This window comes from Homo sapiens, chromosome 4 (genome assembly GCF_000001405.40).
Source record: "Homo sapiens chromosome 4, GRCh38.p14 Primary Assembly".
In the NCBI taxonomy this organism is placed as follows: domain Eukaryota; kingdom Metazoa; phylum Chordata; class Mammalia; order Primates; family Hominidae; genus Homo; species Homo sapiens.
The window spans coordinates 121880977-121895659 of record NC_000004.12 but is presented as its reverse complement, the minus strand read 5'-3'; the positions used below and the strand labels follow the sequence as shown (position 1 = coordinate 121895659).

General features: G+C 34.9%; 1 protein-coding gene across 6 annotated transcripts in view; it reads left to right on the top strand.

Annotated features, from left to right (window-relative positions):
- TRPC3 (transient receptor potential cation channel subfamily C member 3) overlaps positions 1–14683 on the top strand; it is a 77580-nt gene that overhangs the window by 56401 nt on the left and 6496 nt on the right. For 4 of the 6 annotated variants that reach the window (NM_001366479.2, NM_001130698.2, XM_011532217.4 and 1 more), the window contains one exon: positions 13231–13306. In NM_001366479.2, the coding sequence (NP_001353408.1) occupies positions 13231–13306 (76 nt within the window). The remainder of the gene's footprint in view (positions 1–13230; positions 13307–14683) is intronic. The other 2 variants (XM_011532218.4, XM_017008578.3) reach the window with 1 other exon arrangement.

Here is a 14683-nt window from a genome sequence, read left to right as displayed (position 1 = left end):
CTGTTTAGATTTTCTATTTCTTCTTGGTTCAATCTTGGTAGATTGAATGTGTCTGTGATTTTATCTATTTTCCCAGGTTTTCTAATTTATTGGCATATGGTTATTCATAGTAGTCTCTAGTGATCTTTCATATTTCTCTATTATCCATTGTGATGTCTCCTTTTTCATTTTCTGATTTTATTTATTTGAGTCATATCTCTCTGTTTTTAAGTTACTCTAGCTAATGATTTGTCAATTTTGTTTATCTTTTTAAAAAAAACTTTGTTTTGTTGATTTTTTGTATTTATTTTAGTCTCAATTTTGTTTATTTCTGCTCTAATCTTTATTATTTCTTCTACCAATTTGGGGTTTGATTTGTTCATGCTTTTCTTGCATGCTTTTTTCAAGCATTTTTTATGCTTTTTTCCCTTTATGTGCATCATTAGATTGTTTGAAATCTTTCTAGTTTTTTGATGGATGTAGGCATTTATTGCTATAAACTTGCCCCTTAATCCTGCTTTTGCTGTGTTGCATGGGTGTTGGTATGTTGTATTTCTATTTTCACTCATTTCAAGGAATATTAAAATTTCATTCTTAATTTTTTCCTTGACTCATTGGTCATTCAGGAATATGTTGTTTAATTTTCATGTATTTGCATAGTTTCAAATGTGCCTTTTGTTATGATGTCTAATTTTATTCCATTGTGGTCAGATAAAATACTTGATATAATTTTGATTTTATTAAGTTCCTGAGACTTGTTTTATGTCCTAACATATGGTCAATCATAGAGAATGTACCACGTGCTGATTAAAAGAATATATGTTTTGGGGTTGGGTCTGGTAGCTCACACCTGCCTTGGAAGGCCAAGGCAGAAGGATTGCTTAAGCTCAGGAGTTTGAGACCAGCCTGGGCAACATGGTGAGACCTTGTCTCTGCAAAAGTGAAAAAAATTAGCCAGGCATAGTGGCACATGCCTGTAATCCTACATACTTGGGAAGATGGGGTAGGAGGATCACCTGAGCCCAAGAAGTTGAGACTGCAGTGAGCCATGATTGTACAACTGCACTCCAGCCTAGGGTACAGAGTGAGACACTGTCTCAAAAAAAAAAAAAAAAAAAAAAAAAACAGAATGTGTACTTTCCAGCTGTTGGGTAAAATGTTCTGTAAATATATTTTTGGTCCATTGGTCTTGGTGTAGTTTAAATCTGATGGTTTTTTGTTGATTTTCTGTCTGAATGATCTGTCTAATGCTGAGAGTGAGGTTGAAGTTCCCAACTATTATTATATTAGGATATATTTCTCCCTTTAGACTTAATAATATTTGCTTTATATATCTGAGTGCTCTAGTATTGGGTGCATGTATATTTATAACTGGTATATTCTCTTGCTGAGCTGATCCCCTTATTATTATATAATGCCTTTCTTTGTCTCTTTTTAAAGTTAAAGTTTTACTTTTGGTAGTTACATTGTATTCCATCATATGGTTATACTTATTTAATCATTCTTTTATTGATGAAAATAGAGGATATTGCTAATATTTAGCTATTATAAGCAACACTGTAGTAAGTCATTTTGTATATATAACATCTCAATCATGAACAAATACATGGAATTGTCTGGTTAAAGTATATTTGAATTTTAATTTTTTAGCTATTATCAAACTGATGGAGCTTGTACTAACTTACATTCTTACAATAAATATATGAGAGCACCTATTTCCTCCCTAATTTACAAACAGTGTGTTACCAAAGGTTTTTATCTTCACCAGATAGGTTAAAATGTGCTGCTTTGCATTTCTTTATCATGAATGAGTTTTACCTTCCTTTTTATGTTTAATGTTATATATCCTTATGTCTCCATATATATTTGCTTTACTTGAAGGGCTTTTTGTTATCAATGAAGAGGAATTCTTCATATTTTAACAATATTAGCCTTTGTGTTATGACTTAAGAATGTTTTTTACCAGGTTATTGTGTGTCTTTTTAATATTTAAAGTATTTTTTCCCATTCACAACTTTTTTTATTTTTGTATAGTCAACGTTACAAATTGTTTATGGCGTCAGGTTTTGTGTCCTACTTGGAAAGATTTTTCCCCCATAGGAGATTATTTAATATTTTTAACTCATATTTCTTTAGTTCTTTCACTTCTTTGGACTCTGAAAATATTTGATTCATATAGAATATATTTTCATTTAACCTGTAGGATGGGAATCCAAATATGTTGTCTTTCCAGATTATTATACAGTTGGGTGTGTTGAATAATCTATCTTTTCTATTGATTTGAAATACCACTTTAATAATTTACTAAATTCCTGTATAAATTTATTTCTAGGCTTTTCATTCTGTTCCACTGATCTATTCATGCTGTAGAACCACATTATCATAATTATTATAGTTTAAGACAAAAATCAAACAAACAAAACACACATACATGTGCATTCTTGCACGTGTGTACATACACACGCACACACGCACACACACATACACATCCTTACTTCAGGGTTTTTATTTTACAGAATTTCCTATTATTTTTCCTTTCATTCTTTTTTTTTTTTTTTTTGTGACAGAGTCTGCCTCTCTTGCCCAGGCTGGAGTGCAGTGGTGCAATCTCGGCTCACTGCAACCTCCACCTCCTGGATTCAAGCAATTCTCCTGCCTCAGCCTCCCGAGTAGCTGGGACTACTGGTGCCTGCCACCACACCCAGCTAACTTTTGTATTTTTAGTAGAGATTGGGTTTTACCATGTTGACCAGGCTGGTCTTGAACTCCTGACCTCAAGTGATCCACTTGCCTCAGCCTCCCAAAATGCTGGGATTAAAGGTATGAGCCACCAGCACCCAACCTCTTCCTTATTTCTCTATTTGAATTTTAAGGTGGGCTTGTCTGCTGGTATCTTTATTTTGATCACGTTAAGGCAAATTGATGCTTTATAATGTTGTGTTTTCTTTTCTAAGGATATACTTTTCGATTTATTAGGTCTTTTGTGTATTCAGTGACATTTTAAAGTAGTCCCCTTATTATTTATATTAATTATGATTAATTTGGTGCAGTTCTCACAAAACCACCACATACAAACCTTTAAATGGCTAAAAGAAAATAGAAATTTATTTCTCTCTCATGTTCCTAATGTGGTACCTAACAATGTCAGGGACCCAGGCTTTTTCCATCGTATTACTGCATCATGAATGGCTTTCAGTCTAACATTATCTCATGTTCCAAGAAAGCTCCTGGAGCTCTGCCTATTATTTCTACATTCCAAAATACAGTTAGAAAGTGATAGAGAAGAAAGTTCCTTCCTATAAGAAATTTCTGTAAAGTTGCACAAACCACCTATCTGCAATGGAGCCTGGAAAATAAAGTCCTAATTTCAAGTGGCCATGTGCCAAACTAAAAAGCTGTGGAAGAGAAGTGGCAGTGTCTGCTGAAGTGGATTATACTATATGTCTTGGTGTTTATCTTAATATTTTTAAACATACTTAGATCTCTGTTAATTGATTGATATGTTTCAAGTTTTATCTTTTGATCCTTCAGCTCTAAACTATGAAGAAAATCAATATCCGTGTTTTATTTACACCATTTTCCCCCTTCCTCTCCCAGCTCCTGCTTGTTAAATTATTAGAACTGTGTTTGTTGGGGGAAGAAGAATAATTTTCTTAATCCCTTTAGGTTCAGTACCTGGGGGCTATGAATTAAACTGACAACTGACTGATAAACAGGAGGGGAAAAAAGGATTATTTATGCATGCAGTGCACATACCTGTAGAAAAACTCAGTGATGAGTGGCTCAAAGGAGTAGTTGGCATTTGGGGCTTATATACCAACTTAACAAGGGACAAGAAGTTTGTGGAGAAGGGATATGACAAAGGAAAAAGTGTTTGGGTTGCTAAAGGTAGTAAATTGTTGGAAGGTAAATATGTGGGAGAAACTGATAGAAGATACAGGTTATTTTAGTAAGGTTTGCTTGTGCAGAACCACCTTGGTGCTGACTTTCTGTCCCCAGTGGTAATGATTGTTTTTCCTCCTGCTAATCTGGGAGGGGGAGAGGAAGAAGATCTTCACAAAGGGAAATGTATGTCCTGTTTTTAGGCAGATGGGTTAGGGCAGAGAACTCTTTCTGTGTTTGCTACTTTTTAATTGCCTTTAGCTCAAAATAATCCTTATGCCAAAATGGCATATTTTGGGGTGACATATTCTGATCCACTTCACTACCTTGTCAGGACTATAGCCTACATTTGGTTTAGTTTTAGTCCCACAGTTAAACATAGTCAGTATTCACCACCAGTCTTTTTTGCCATAATTTTCTGTTTATCTCTTTCTTAGCTTAACTTTGTCTTTTGGTAGTTCCTTCAAGAAGAGTTTATGAGAACTATGTTCTCTGAGTTATTTTATGTTCTAAATTAGTTTCTATTTCTATATATTTATATTGACTACCTGTAATATACTTAGGTTATAATTTATTTTTAATGTATGTGTAGATGTTGCTCCAGAGCCTCCTGAAATGGAATGTTGATGTGGAAGAGTTTGAGGCCAGCCTGATTGTTTTCCTCATATAGTTGACCGGAGGTTTTAGTTTGAATGCCCCAAATATCTTTATCTTTTAAATCCTACAACTTGGTATTGATTGTTCTATAGATGGATCTGTATCAATTTTTCCTGGCATACACTATGGCCTTTCTATTTTTTTGTTTTTTAAGATGGAGTCTTGCTGTGTCACCCAGGCTGGAGTGCAGTGGCGTGATCTCGGCTCACTGCAATCTCCACCTCCCAGGTTCAAGTGATTGTCCTGCCTCAGCCTCCCAAGTAGCTGGGACTACAGGTGCCGCCACCACACCTGGTCAATTTTTGTATTTTTTTAGTAGAGATGGGGTTTCATTGTGTTAGCCAGGATAGTCTCGATCTCCTGACCTCATGATCCACCCATCTCGGCCTCCCAAAGTGCTGGCATTACAGGCATGAGCCACTGCACCTGGCCACACTATGGCCTTTCAATATGTACGTTTAGTCTTCTTTTAATTTTTGAATAATTTTATTGAAATATCTCAAGACATTTTTCTGCTCCATTATTTTGAATTTCTTCTTCAAAGACACCAATTTAAAGCCTGCTGAATTCTTCTTGACTGTCTTCCATATCTACCATTTTTTCCCTATTCATTTTGAATTTTTCATCCATTTCTATTTTTGGCTCCTTTTTCCTCAAACTTTATTTTTTAATTTTATTTTTAATTGACACATTATAATTATGCATACTTATGGCATACAGTGTGATATTTCAATACATGTATACGTTGTGTAAGGATCAAAGCAGTGTATTTGGCATGTTCATCACCTTGTTCATTTATCATTTCTTTGTTGTAAGACCATTCAAAATCCTCTCTTCTAGCTATTTTAAAACATACAATACAATGTTGTTAACTATAGTCCCCCTACTGTGCCCTGTAACACCTTAAATTACTTCTTCTATCTAACTATAACTTTGTACCTGGTGACCAACTTCTCCCTACTTCCCATTCCCCCTGCCCTCTCCAACTTCTGGTAGCCACTATTCTACTCTCTACTTCTATGAGATAAACTTTTTAAGATGTCACATATGAGTGAGATCATATGATATTTGCCTTTCTGTACCTGGCTTATTTCATTTAACATTATGTCCTCCAGGTCCATCTGAGTTGCCACAAAGACAAAAAGTCATTGTGGCTGAATAGAATTCCACTGTGTGTATATATACAACCATACTTTCTTTATCTGTTCATCTGCTGATGGACAGTTAGGTTGATTCCATATTTTGGCTGTTGTGAATAGTGCTGCAGTAAACATGGGAGTACAGATGTCTCTTCAACATACTGATTTCATTTCCTTTGGGTATATACCAGTAGTGGGATTGCTGGATCATATGGTAGTTCTATTTTTAATTTTTTAAGTATCTATTCAATATACTGATTTCATTTCCTTTGGATATATACCCAGTAGTAGGATTTTTGAATCATATGGTGGTTCTATTTTTAATTTTTTAAGGAACTTCCATACTGTTTTCTGTAATGGCTGTACTAATTTTACATTCCTATCAATAGTATATGAGTTCTCTTTCTCCACATCCATACCAGCATTTGTTATTTTTTGTCTGTTTGATAATAGCCATCCTAACTAGGGTGAGGTGAAATCTTATTGTGGTTTTGATTTGCATTTCTCTGTTGATTAGTGATGTTGAACATTTTTTCATATGCCTGTTGTCCATTTGTATGTCTTCTTTTGACAAATGTCTCTTCAGGTCTTTTGCCCATTTTTAAATTGGATTACTTGTTTTTTGCTGTTGAGTTGTTTAAGTTTCTTATATATTCTGGATATTAACCCCTTGTCAGATGTGTAGTTTGAAAATATGCTTGATGTAATCCCATTTGCCTATTTTTGCTTTTGTTGCCTGTGTTTTTGAGGTCTTATCCAAAAACTCCTTGCCCAGACCAGTGTCCTGAAGTATTTCCCCTGTTTTCTTCTAGTAGTTTTATCATTTTGAGTCTTACACCTGAGACTTTATTTTGAAATGATTTTTGTATATGGTGAGAGGTAGAGGTCTAGTTTTATCCTTCTGCATGTGGATGTCCAGTTTTCCCAGCACCATTCATTGAAGAGACTGTCCTTTCCCCAATGTATGTTCTTGGTGCATTTGTTGAAAATCAGGTAGCTGTAAGTGCTTCCTGGTTCATAGACAACTGTCTTCTCACTCTGTCTCATATGGCAGAAAAGGGACAAGGAAGTTCTGTGGGGTCTCTTTTATAAGAGCACTAATCCCATTTGTAAGGGTGGAACCTAATCACCTCCTAATACTATCACATTGGAGGGGTAGGATTTGAACACATGAGCCTGGGGTGGACAAAACATTCAGTTCATAACAATGAGTAATAATAACAATTGTTTAGTTGTTAGAGATTTTTTTTCATGCAGCCTGATTATAATAGGTAAGACTTACCTTTAAAACTATTACAGAACTTGGAGGTGGGCGTGGTGGCTCACGCCTGTAATCCCAGCACTTTGGGAGGCCAAGGTGGGTGGATCACCTGAGGTCAAGAGTTTGAGACCAGCCTGGTTAACATGGTGAAACCCTGTCTCTACTAAAAAAAAAAAAAACAGAACTTGGTCTGCTAAATAGGGATTTTTCTTTCAAAGTGATAACTCTTAGAATATACTAATTCTAATGAGGCTATCACAACTCAGAATATTTTTAGAACATCTTTAAAGAATTACTTTTATAATTAGTCCATAAGACTCAAAAAATGTTTCATTTTTTTCTAGTTACTGAACTTAGCTAATTATTCCTATTAATAAGACTTAGTGCCATGACTTTGCATTTTTTTAAAAAATGATCACATCCAACTTCAACAAACATGTAGCCATCACCAATAGGGTCATCACCTTATGTGTTTTATATCCAAATGAGGGTTTTTTTCTCCAAAACAATTTCTTCAAAGACAGAGATTCAAATATGCCCCAAGGGGCCACAGCGGAAGAGTTTCAAAAATGTTTTGATCAGGGCCAGACATGGTGGCTCACTTCTACAATTCCAGTGCTTTGGGAGGCTGATGTGGGAGGGCAGTTTGAGTCCAGGAGTTTGAGGCTGCAATGAGCTATGATCATGTCACTGAACTCCAGCCCTGGTGACACAGCAAGACGCTTTCTCTCAAAAAAAAAAATACCAAAAATGTTTTGATCAATAGTGGTATTTATATTAAAATTAATTATTAATAGCATGTTGAAGTAATTCTTTTATGTGTGTAAAGAATTTTTTTTAACTGGGCGTGATTTTTTTCTCAAGAACATACTCAGGAGGATGGCCATGATTAAATTCTGCTAATTTTAACAATATTTTATTTATTATTTATTATAACGATATTTGTGTTTGGTTATTTCAAGTTAAAAGCACGCAGATATGCTATGATATGTTAAGAAATAGGAATTTATTGTGAGACTCCACTGAAGCTGGACTATGAGTTCTTGAGTTTTATTCTCTCTGTTGTCTCTTGCTGGCAGATCTGCTTTCACAGATGACTTCGCTTTGGTAACACCCTTGGTCCAAACAAATACAGTATTGGACAGTCTTTGGCCCAGGTGGTGGACTCTGGTCCAATCCATGAAGGATATCATTGATGGCTTGGTTTTACTGGAAGCACATGAGAGTTTTTCTCTAAATGGGGCAAAATGAGATGTTCCTGAACTCCACTCACAGTGAGCTTCAGGCACATTCAGGGACAACCCCTGTTATATACATGATGTTAGGTTATACAGATACAAAGATATAAGTCATGCCTTCAAGAATCTCTCCATTGAAGTAGAATGGCAGTGTTGAGGTTAGGAGGAAGGAAAGGAAAGTATAAGTAGACAAATATTCACATAACGCTACATGCTATGTAGTATAGTTATGCCTATATATGAAATAGAAATAAATATAAATGCAATGAAATATAAATAAAATGGTTTGGGAATAGAGAAAACAAAAATAGCTCAGAGCAGTCTGAACTATGTGAGGTATGCAGGCCCAGAGAACATGAGTATGGGACTTTCAGTCACAGTCCCCTACCTCTACCCACGCCTGAGGGCAGTTGTTTAAATTCATTTGTTCCTGACTTGCAGCCTCACCTGTTATCTTCATGTACCTAGAATTTGTGATACAAAGAACAATGTATAACCAGTCAAAAGCTTATGTTATTTCAATGTAAGTCCTTGATAAACAACTTAGGAACTGCCTCTTCTTTTCCTTTAAAAACCCACTAGTAATTGCTGCGAATTGGAGCACATATTCAGGGCAACTTGAATCTGTGCTCCCCAGGTTGCAGTCCTTAAACTTGGCCCAGATAAACTCTCTACTTATATATTTAGTTTGCCTCAGATTTTTTCTTTAGGTCAACAGAACTGGGAAACCTACAAGAGAAGATATTTTAAAGTCAATCAATAGGTTTGCAGGTCCCTCTTCAAAAAAAACAAAAAACAAAAAAATGCAGAAAAAAGTAACAGGTAAAAGTCAATCAAGTAGAATAAAAAACAAATTTATTCTCTGTTACCCCAAAGAACAGAATTTGGACCGATAGTTATTTTGGCTTCAAAACAAAGGAGTTGTTTTCTAACAGCTATAGTTGTCCAAAAATAGATTAAACCAGCTGTCTGGAAAAATAGCAGGCCCTCAATCACAGAAGTTTATACAGAAGCTGTGTAATGGTAATCTTTCACAAAGTTTCGTGAGTGGTATAAAAACATGAAAAACAATGATTCCCAAGGTCCTTTTCCTTTCTAAAATTTTACTCTGTACTTCTGAGTTTTTTTTCTATTTGTCTACATCAGTCTTATTACCCTTCATTCACACTTTTTAGATTGTTAAAATTCATAGTACAAAATCTACTAATAAGAGTCAAATTTGGCTTCTCTGTAGAATTAAGTGAGAGAATGAATGTAAAAGTACCTGATAGAGTGCTTAACAATTATTAGTTGAATTTGAATCAGTAAAAATACCAAGTGAGAAGAAAAACTTTCACTCCTTTCAGGAAGGAAGATATCTAACCACCCCGCAGCTACCCAACCACCCACATCTTATTTCTTCTCCCAGTCTTAACGGAGGGTTGAAAAATGAACTTGGGTTTGTTTGCAGGAAGGACTGTTTGAAGTAAGTACCGCCTGGAATCTTTACCTGGTTACCACTCAATTTCAGTTTTGGAACCTCTCTCTAGGATTTCCATACCCTGGACAGAGAAAATCAATAGTCTTTATAGAGTTAGAATGTCTTCCTTAAAGAGTGACTCACAGGCTTGTACCAAGAAAGCTATATAATTTCTGGAGGTTTGTGGAATGTGGAAGTTAATCTATAGACTTCTTTTGTGTTAGTTAGTTAGCAATTTGAGCAAGAGGGAAAAAAGATGAATCTGTTATTGGTCAGTTTAATTTTTTGTACTAGCTTTAATTAAAGAATCAGTTGGAAATTTAGTTAAAGGTAGTATTTAAAATGGTACTTTTACTTGTTACATATGAGTTTCATGGTCCTTGCTTGTGGTACCATCATTAAGATGGATTTATCAAGATTTGCTTTACAGAAGCATAGATAATAATGAAAGAATAATAGTTATATTATTTGAGCACCTACTATGTAATTTACATGTATTGTCTCTTTTACAAGACACTGTCTAGCATTTCCATTACACAGATTAAGATACCAAGGTTCCAGAGCTTGTGAATGATGGAGTCACAACTCAAAACTACATGATTTGTTCTTGCAACTCACAGTCTCAACTGTGTTAAAGAAAACCAGAGCCAGACAGCAGCTAAAGTGGTAAAAACAGATTTTATTCAGGAACTATTGCGATAGGGGGAGAGAGACCTCAAGAGTCTTTGTTGCCTATTACACAATACTGTCTTGGGTTTACTAGACAAGCTTCCTAATAGAATGGGGATGGCCAATCTTTGTCTCCTTCTCTGAGCTGCAGATCATTTTAGAATTCTCATGAACTATCTTTCCAACATGAACAAAGGGATGGACTATTACCAGGTAGTGTCATGTGTGGCGAAACTGATTTCTGTCTAATCTCAGGTACCTTCTTGCCTTGTGCAGAGGCTCAACTTGTCTCAGCACTACTTTTTAAATAGTCATTTCTTTTCCACCAATTTGTATTACTGCCTTTCAAGCTGCTTTCAACTGATACACATAATTTTGTATTTTCATTTTATAGGAATCTGTCTTCACTGTCCCCTAAATTTAACCAGATCCCTGATATGTTCACCCATTATTGTGAATGGTTCCATATCAATATGAAGTTTCACTGGACTGGGGACTGTGTTCACTGTTGTATTCCTAGCACCTGGTACAGTACCTGCCACAGAATTGGCTCTCAATAAATATTTGCTGAATGAATGAATCAGTCCAGTTTAAGATCCATCCAGCTGTGAGTCTGTCCTGGGATCTAGATTCTACAAAATTCAACAGGTTTTATGTCTTACAGTGACTGGAAAAATGAGCTTTTCCTTTTCAGTAGCGTGGGCCCTCTCAGTCTGTTGTTATTCTCTGCATAACATTTTGAATCTTCCTGGATTCTTCTCTTTTACTTGACCTTGGCATAATTTCTACTTTCTTAAAATTGAAGTATATATTTTCTACTCTCGCTATGTCTGCATTTTAGTTCAGGTCTTTTTCCCTTTCCTTTGTTATCTTTTATATACAACATTTGTTACATGCTTAAGAATATGTGTAATGCAAAATAAATTATGAAGCATAATTACATTCACACCTATGAAACCACCACCGACCTGACAATGATAACATTATCCGTCCATTGCCTCTACTTATATGCACCTTGCTACCTACTCCTCTGCCTCCACCTAAGAGTTAATCCCTATCTTGAAGTTGGGTTTCTCCTCTTCTTGCTTTGATTTTCTTTTCAAATATAATTTCTTATATGTGTCAGTATTCCTAAAAATATATTCTACAGATTTACTTGTTATTGAGCTTCATAAGAATAGCTTCATACTCTGTGGTCTTCTGCAACTGGAATTTTTCATTCAACATTATGCTTCTAAGATTCATCCACACTGTTGTGTGTGGCTATGGTGCATTAATTTCATTAATGAACACAATAACATTACATTGAAAATACTGCAATTTGTCTATTCTTGTTAATATTTGTTTAGATTGTTTCCAGTGTTTTGCAATTTCAGACAGGGTTGCTACAAACATTGTTGTATGTCTCTTGGTTCATACCTACAAAGTTTCTCTAGGCCTTTTACTGAGAAGTGGACTTCTAGCTGAAAGGGTATGTAAATGTTCAACTTTAAAAGATAATACCACCTGGATGCAGTGGGTCATGTCTATAGCTCCAGCTGCTTGAGAGGCTGAGGCAGGAGGACAGCGTTGAGCCCAGGAGTTTGAGGCAAGCCTGTGCAATATAGTGAGACTCCACCTCTAAAATTTTGTTAATAGAAATCAATTTAAAAACTAAAAAGATAGTACTAAATTGTCTTCAAAGTTGTCTGCAGTCTTGCCAGTAAAATATAAAAGTCCCCATTGATCCATATCCTTTCTAACACTTGGCATAACCAGATTTATTAATCGTTCTCTTTATTAGATGTAAAATTGTGTCTCCTTTTAGTCATAATTTGTATTTCCCTGCAACAGAGTTTGAAATTGTTTCTTAAGCTTGTTGACCCTTCACGTTTCCATTTCTGTGAAACATTTGTTTGTCTTTTGCCCATTTTAAAATCGGGTTATTTGAGTTTTTCTTATTGAATTAAAGTTCTTTATATATTTGGATATAAATTATTTTTAATTACAAGCATTACCAATATTTTCTCCCAGTTTATGGCTTGCCTTTTCACTTTCTTTATAGTATCTCTTTAAACAGAAATTTTAAATTGTAATGAAGTTGAATTTATCAGTCTTTTCTATTGTAATCAGAAGTTTTAATCTTGTTTTTTTAAAAATACAGGTCTACCCCAAATTTATAAATATACTCTCTTATATAATACGTTCTTTTAAGGGTTCAGAAGCTTTGTCTTTCACATTTAAGATGCAAATGGAATTAATTTTTGTGTTCATGGTATGAAATAGGGCTCCAATTTAATTTTTTCCATATGGGTAAACAGTTATCCTAGAAGAGCATTTATTTAGACTGAAAATAGTCACATATATTGCTATTAGAGAAACGTATGCAATATAACAAAATATATGGCATTTAGAAAACATAAAATATAATACTTACAGTAATTAGTATATATACAAATTTTAAAGAAAAGATATTGGAAGGGCATACACCAAAATGAAAACAGTGATTATCTTTGGCTGGTGAGGTTGCCAATGATTTCATTTGTTTATTTTGTTCTTCTGTATATTTTCCAAATTCTCTATATAGAGTATACATTGATGTATTTTTCTAAATACTGGGAAATAAGGTAGTGTCTATGGGTGATAATGTGGTGTCAATGTAATTTAAAAAGAAACTATTAGTTGAAAGAGGAGCCATGAATTCAAATCTTCAAGCTTAACTTCTTTTTAAAAGCTTCTTCCGTTTCTGAGGCAAAAAAAAAGTATTGGTGGATTATGCAGTAAGTCTCAGTAGAAGGCATTAAGAGAGTTAAGTTCTGAAACCTGCGTAATTTTTCTATACATAGTTATAAAATTTTTTTCTCCCCTGAGTTGTTTGCTTTACAGGTATGTAAGCCTCTTTGGAAAATAGGATTGGGGCACTTATGTATATCATTGGAGATCTAATCATTTACTTTTGCCCAACAGCAGATAATGAAAAGACTTATAAAGCGGTATGTTTTGAAAGCACAAGTAGACAAAGAAAATGATGAAGTTAATGAAGGTAAGCATCTCCAACTTAAAAAATATCCTTTTATAGCTAACTTAATGAACCTGGAAAACTTAATGTTGAGGCATATTTTAAAAATCCAATCCCAGGTTATAGTTTGGATGCCTCTAAGATGGGAGGAGGATCTTATGTTACGTTTCTAAAACTTCATCTTTTAAAATAAACAGTTATTTACAATATTGATCAGAGGCAATTTATCTCTACTCATAGTGCCCTAACTGATTCTTAGAATGTAAAGACTGACATCTTTCTAGGAGTTTTTTAATCCTTCTGACATAAGGTAGTCAGTAAGTATTGGTTACATTTTCAATGAGTTCACATTAGTGTTAACATTTTTCCAGTTAAGCAGATAAAAGAACAGTGACTCAAACAGAATTCATGTCTTCAGGAAAACCTCTGTTTTATTGTTCAGAAACACATTTTTAACCTGTTTTTCTTGTCTGGTGCGTCTCTTTTGAATTTCACTTTCCCCCCTGCCTCCTTACTTTAAGCAAGCTTATTTTTTTAAGGCATATTTGAGGCAGGGCATCTCTCTGGACTATAAAAATTTTTTACCAAAGTCTAGGATGTAGAGCTAAACACAGGCCCAGAGTTGGAAAGAAATCAACCAGGGAGAAATAAGTTGCCCTAAAAATGGAAACTGTACCTTCCAACACCAATGAGATGCCACTAAATCTATCTACACTGATAAAAGAGGAAAGGACTAAACTTAATAAAATTGTTCATAGGCTTTGAAGCCATTACTTGATTAATACAAGGAATGCATTTTAAATGTAAATCAATCCAATAGTGTATGTATGTAGAAGAGAAACCTGTGAATTTATAATCGATAACTAGCAAAAATCTAATCATGGTGACCTAATCAATCTGTCTCAGGAGAAAGGATTGGAATGAGGTTGTAGTTTAGAAAGCAGAAGTCTGATGAGTTGTACCGTAATCTCCATGGGGGGTGGAGAGGGAGGAACAAAGTGGGAAGAACTGTATGGCTAAAACGGCATAAAAAACAAGAAGCATTTCCCAAGCCCTTGCACAAAAGGGGAAAATCAATGAGAATTTGGAGTTTTGAACAAAGTTCTTACTAAGAAAATGTGTCATATAATCTCCTCATTTAATTAATGAGGAAACTAAAATCTGAAGAGTTTGAGTAACTTGTGTTTCCTGAATTGGCAGATTAAATATTTAATACAACACATAGGTTGTAGTCTCCCCATGAGTCGGGGACAAGGAAGAAAGGATAGTAGAAGGTGAAGTAGGGCAGGGGGTCTCCTGCGGTACTGAATGGTGTGAGAATCCACTCCTTCCACTGAAGTCTGCCTCATGATTTCAAATAAGATCAGTTTATTCCTTTTATATTGCCATATGCCAAAGGAA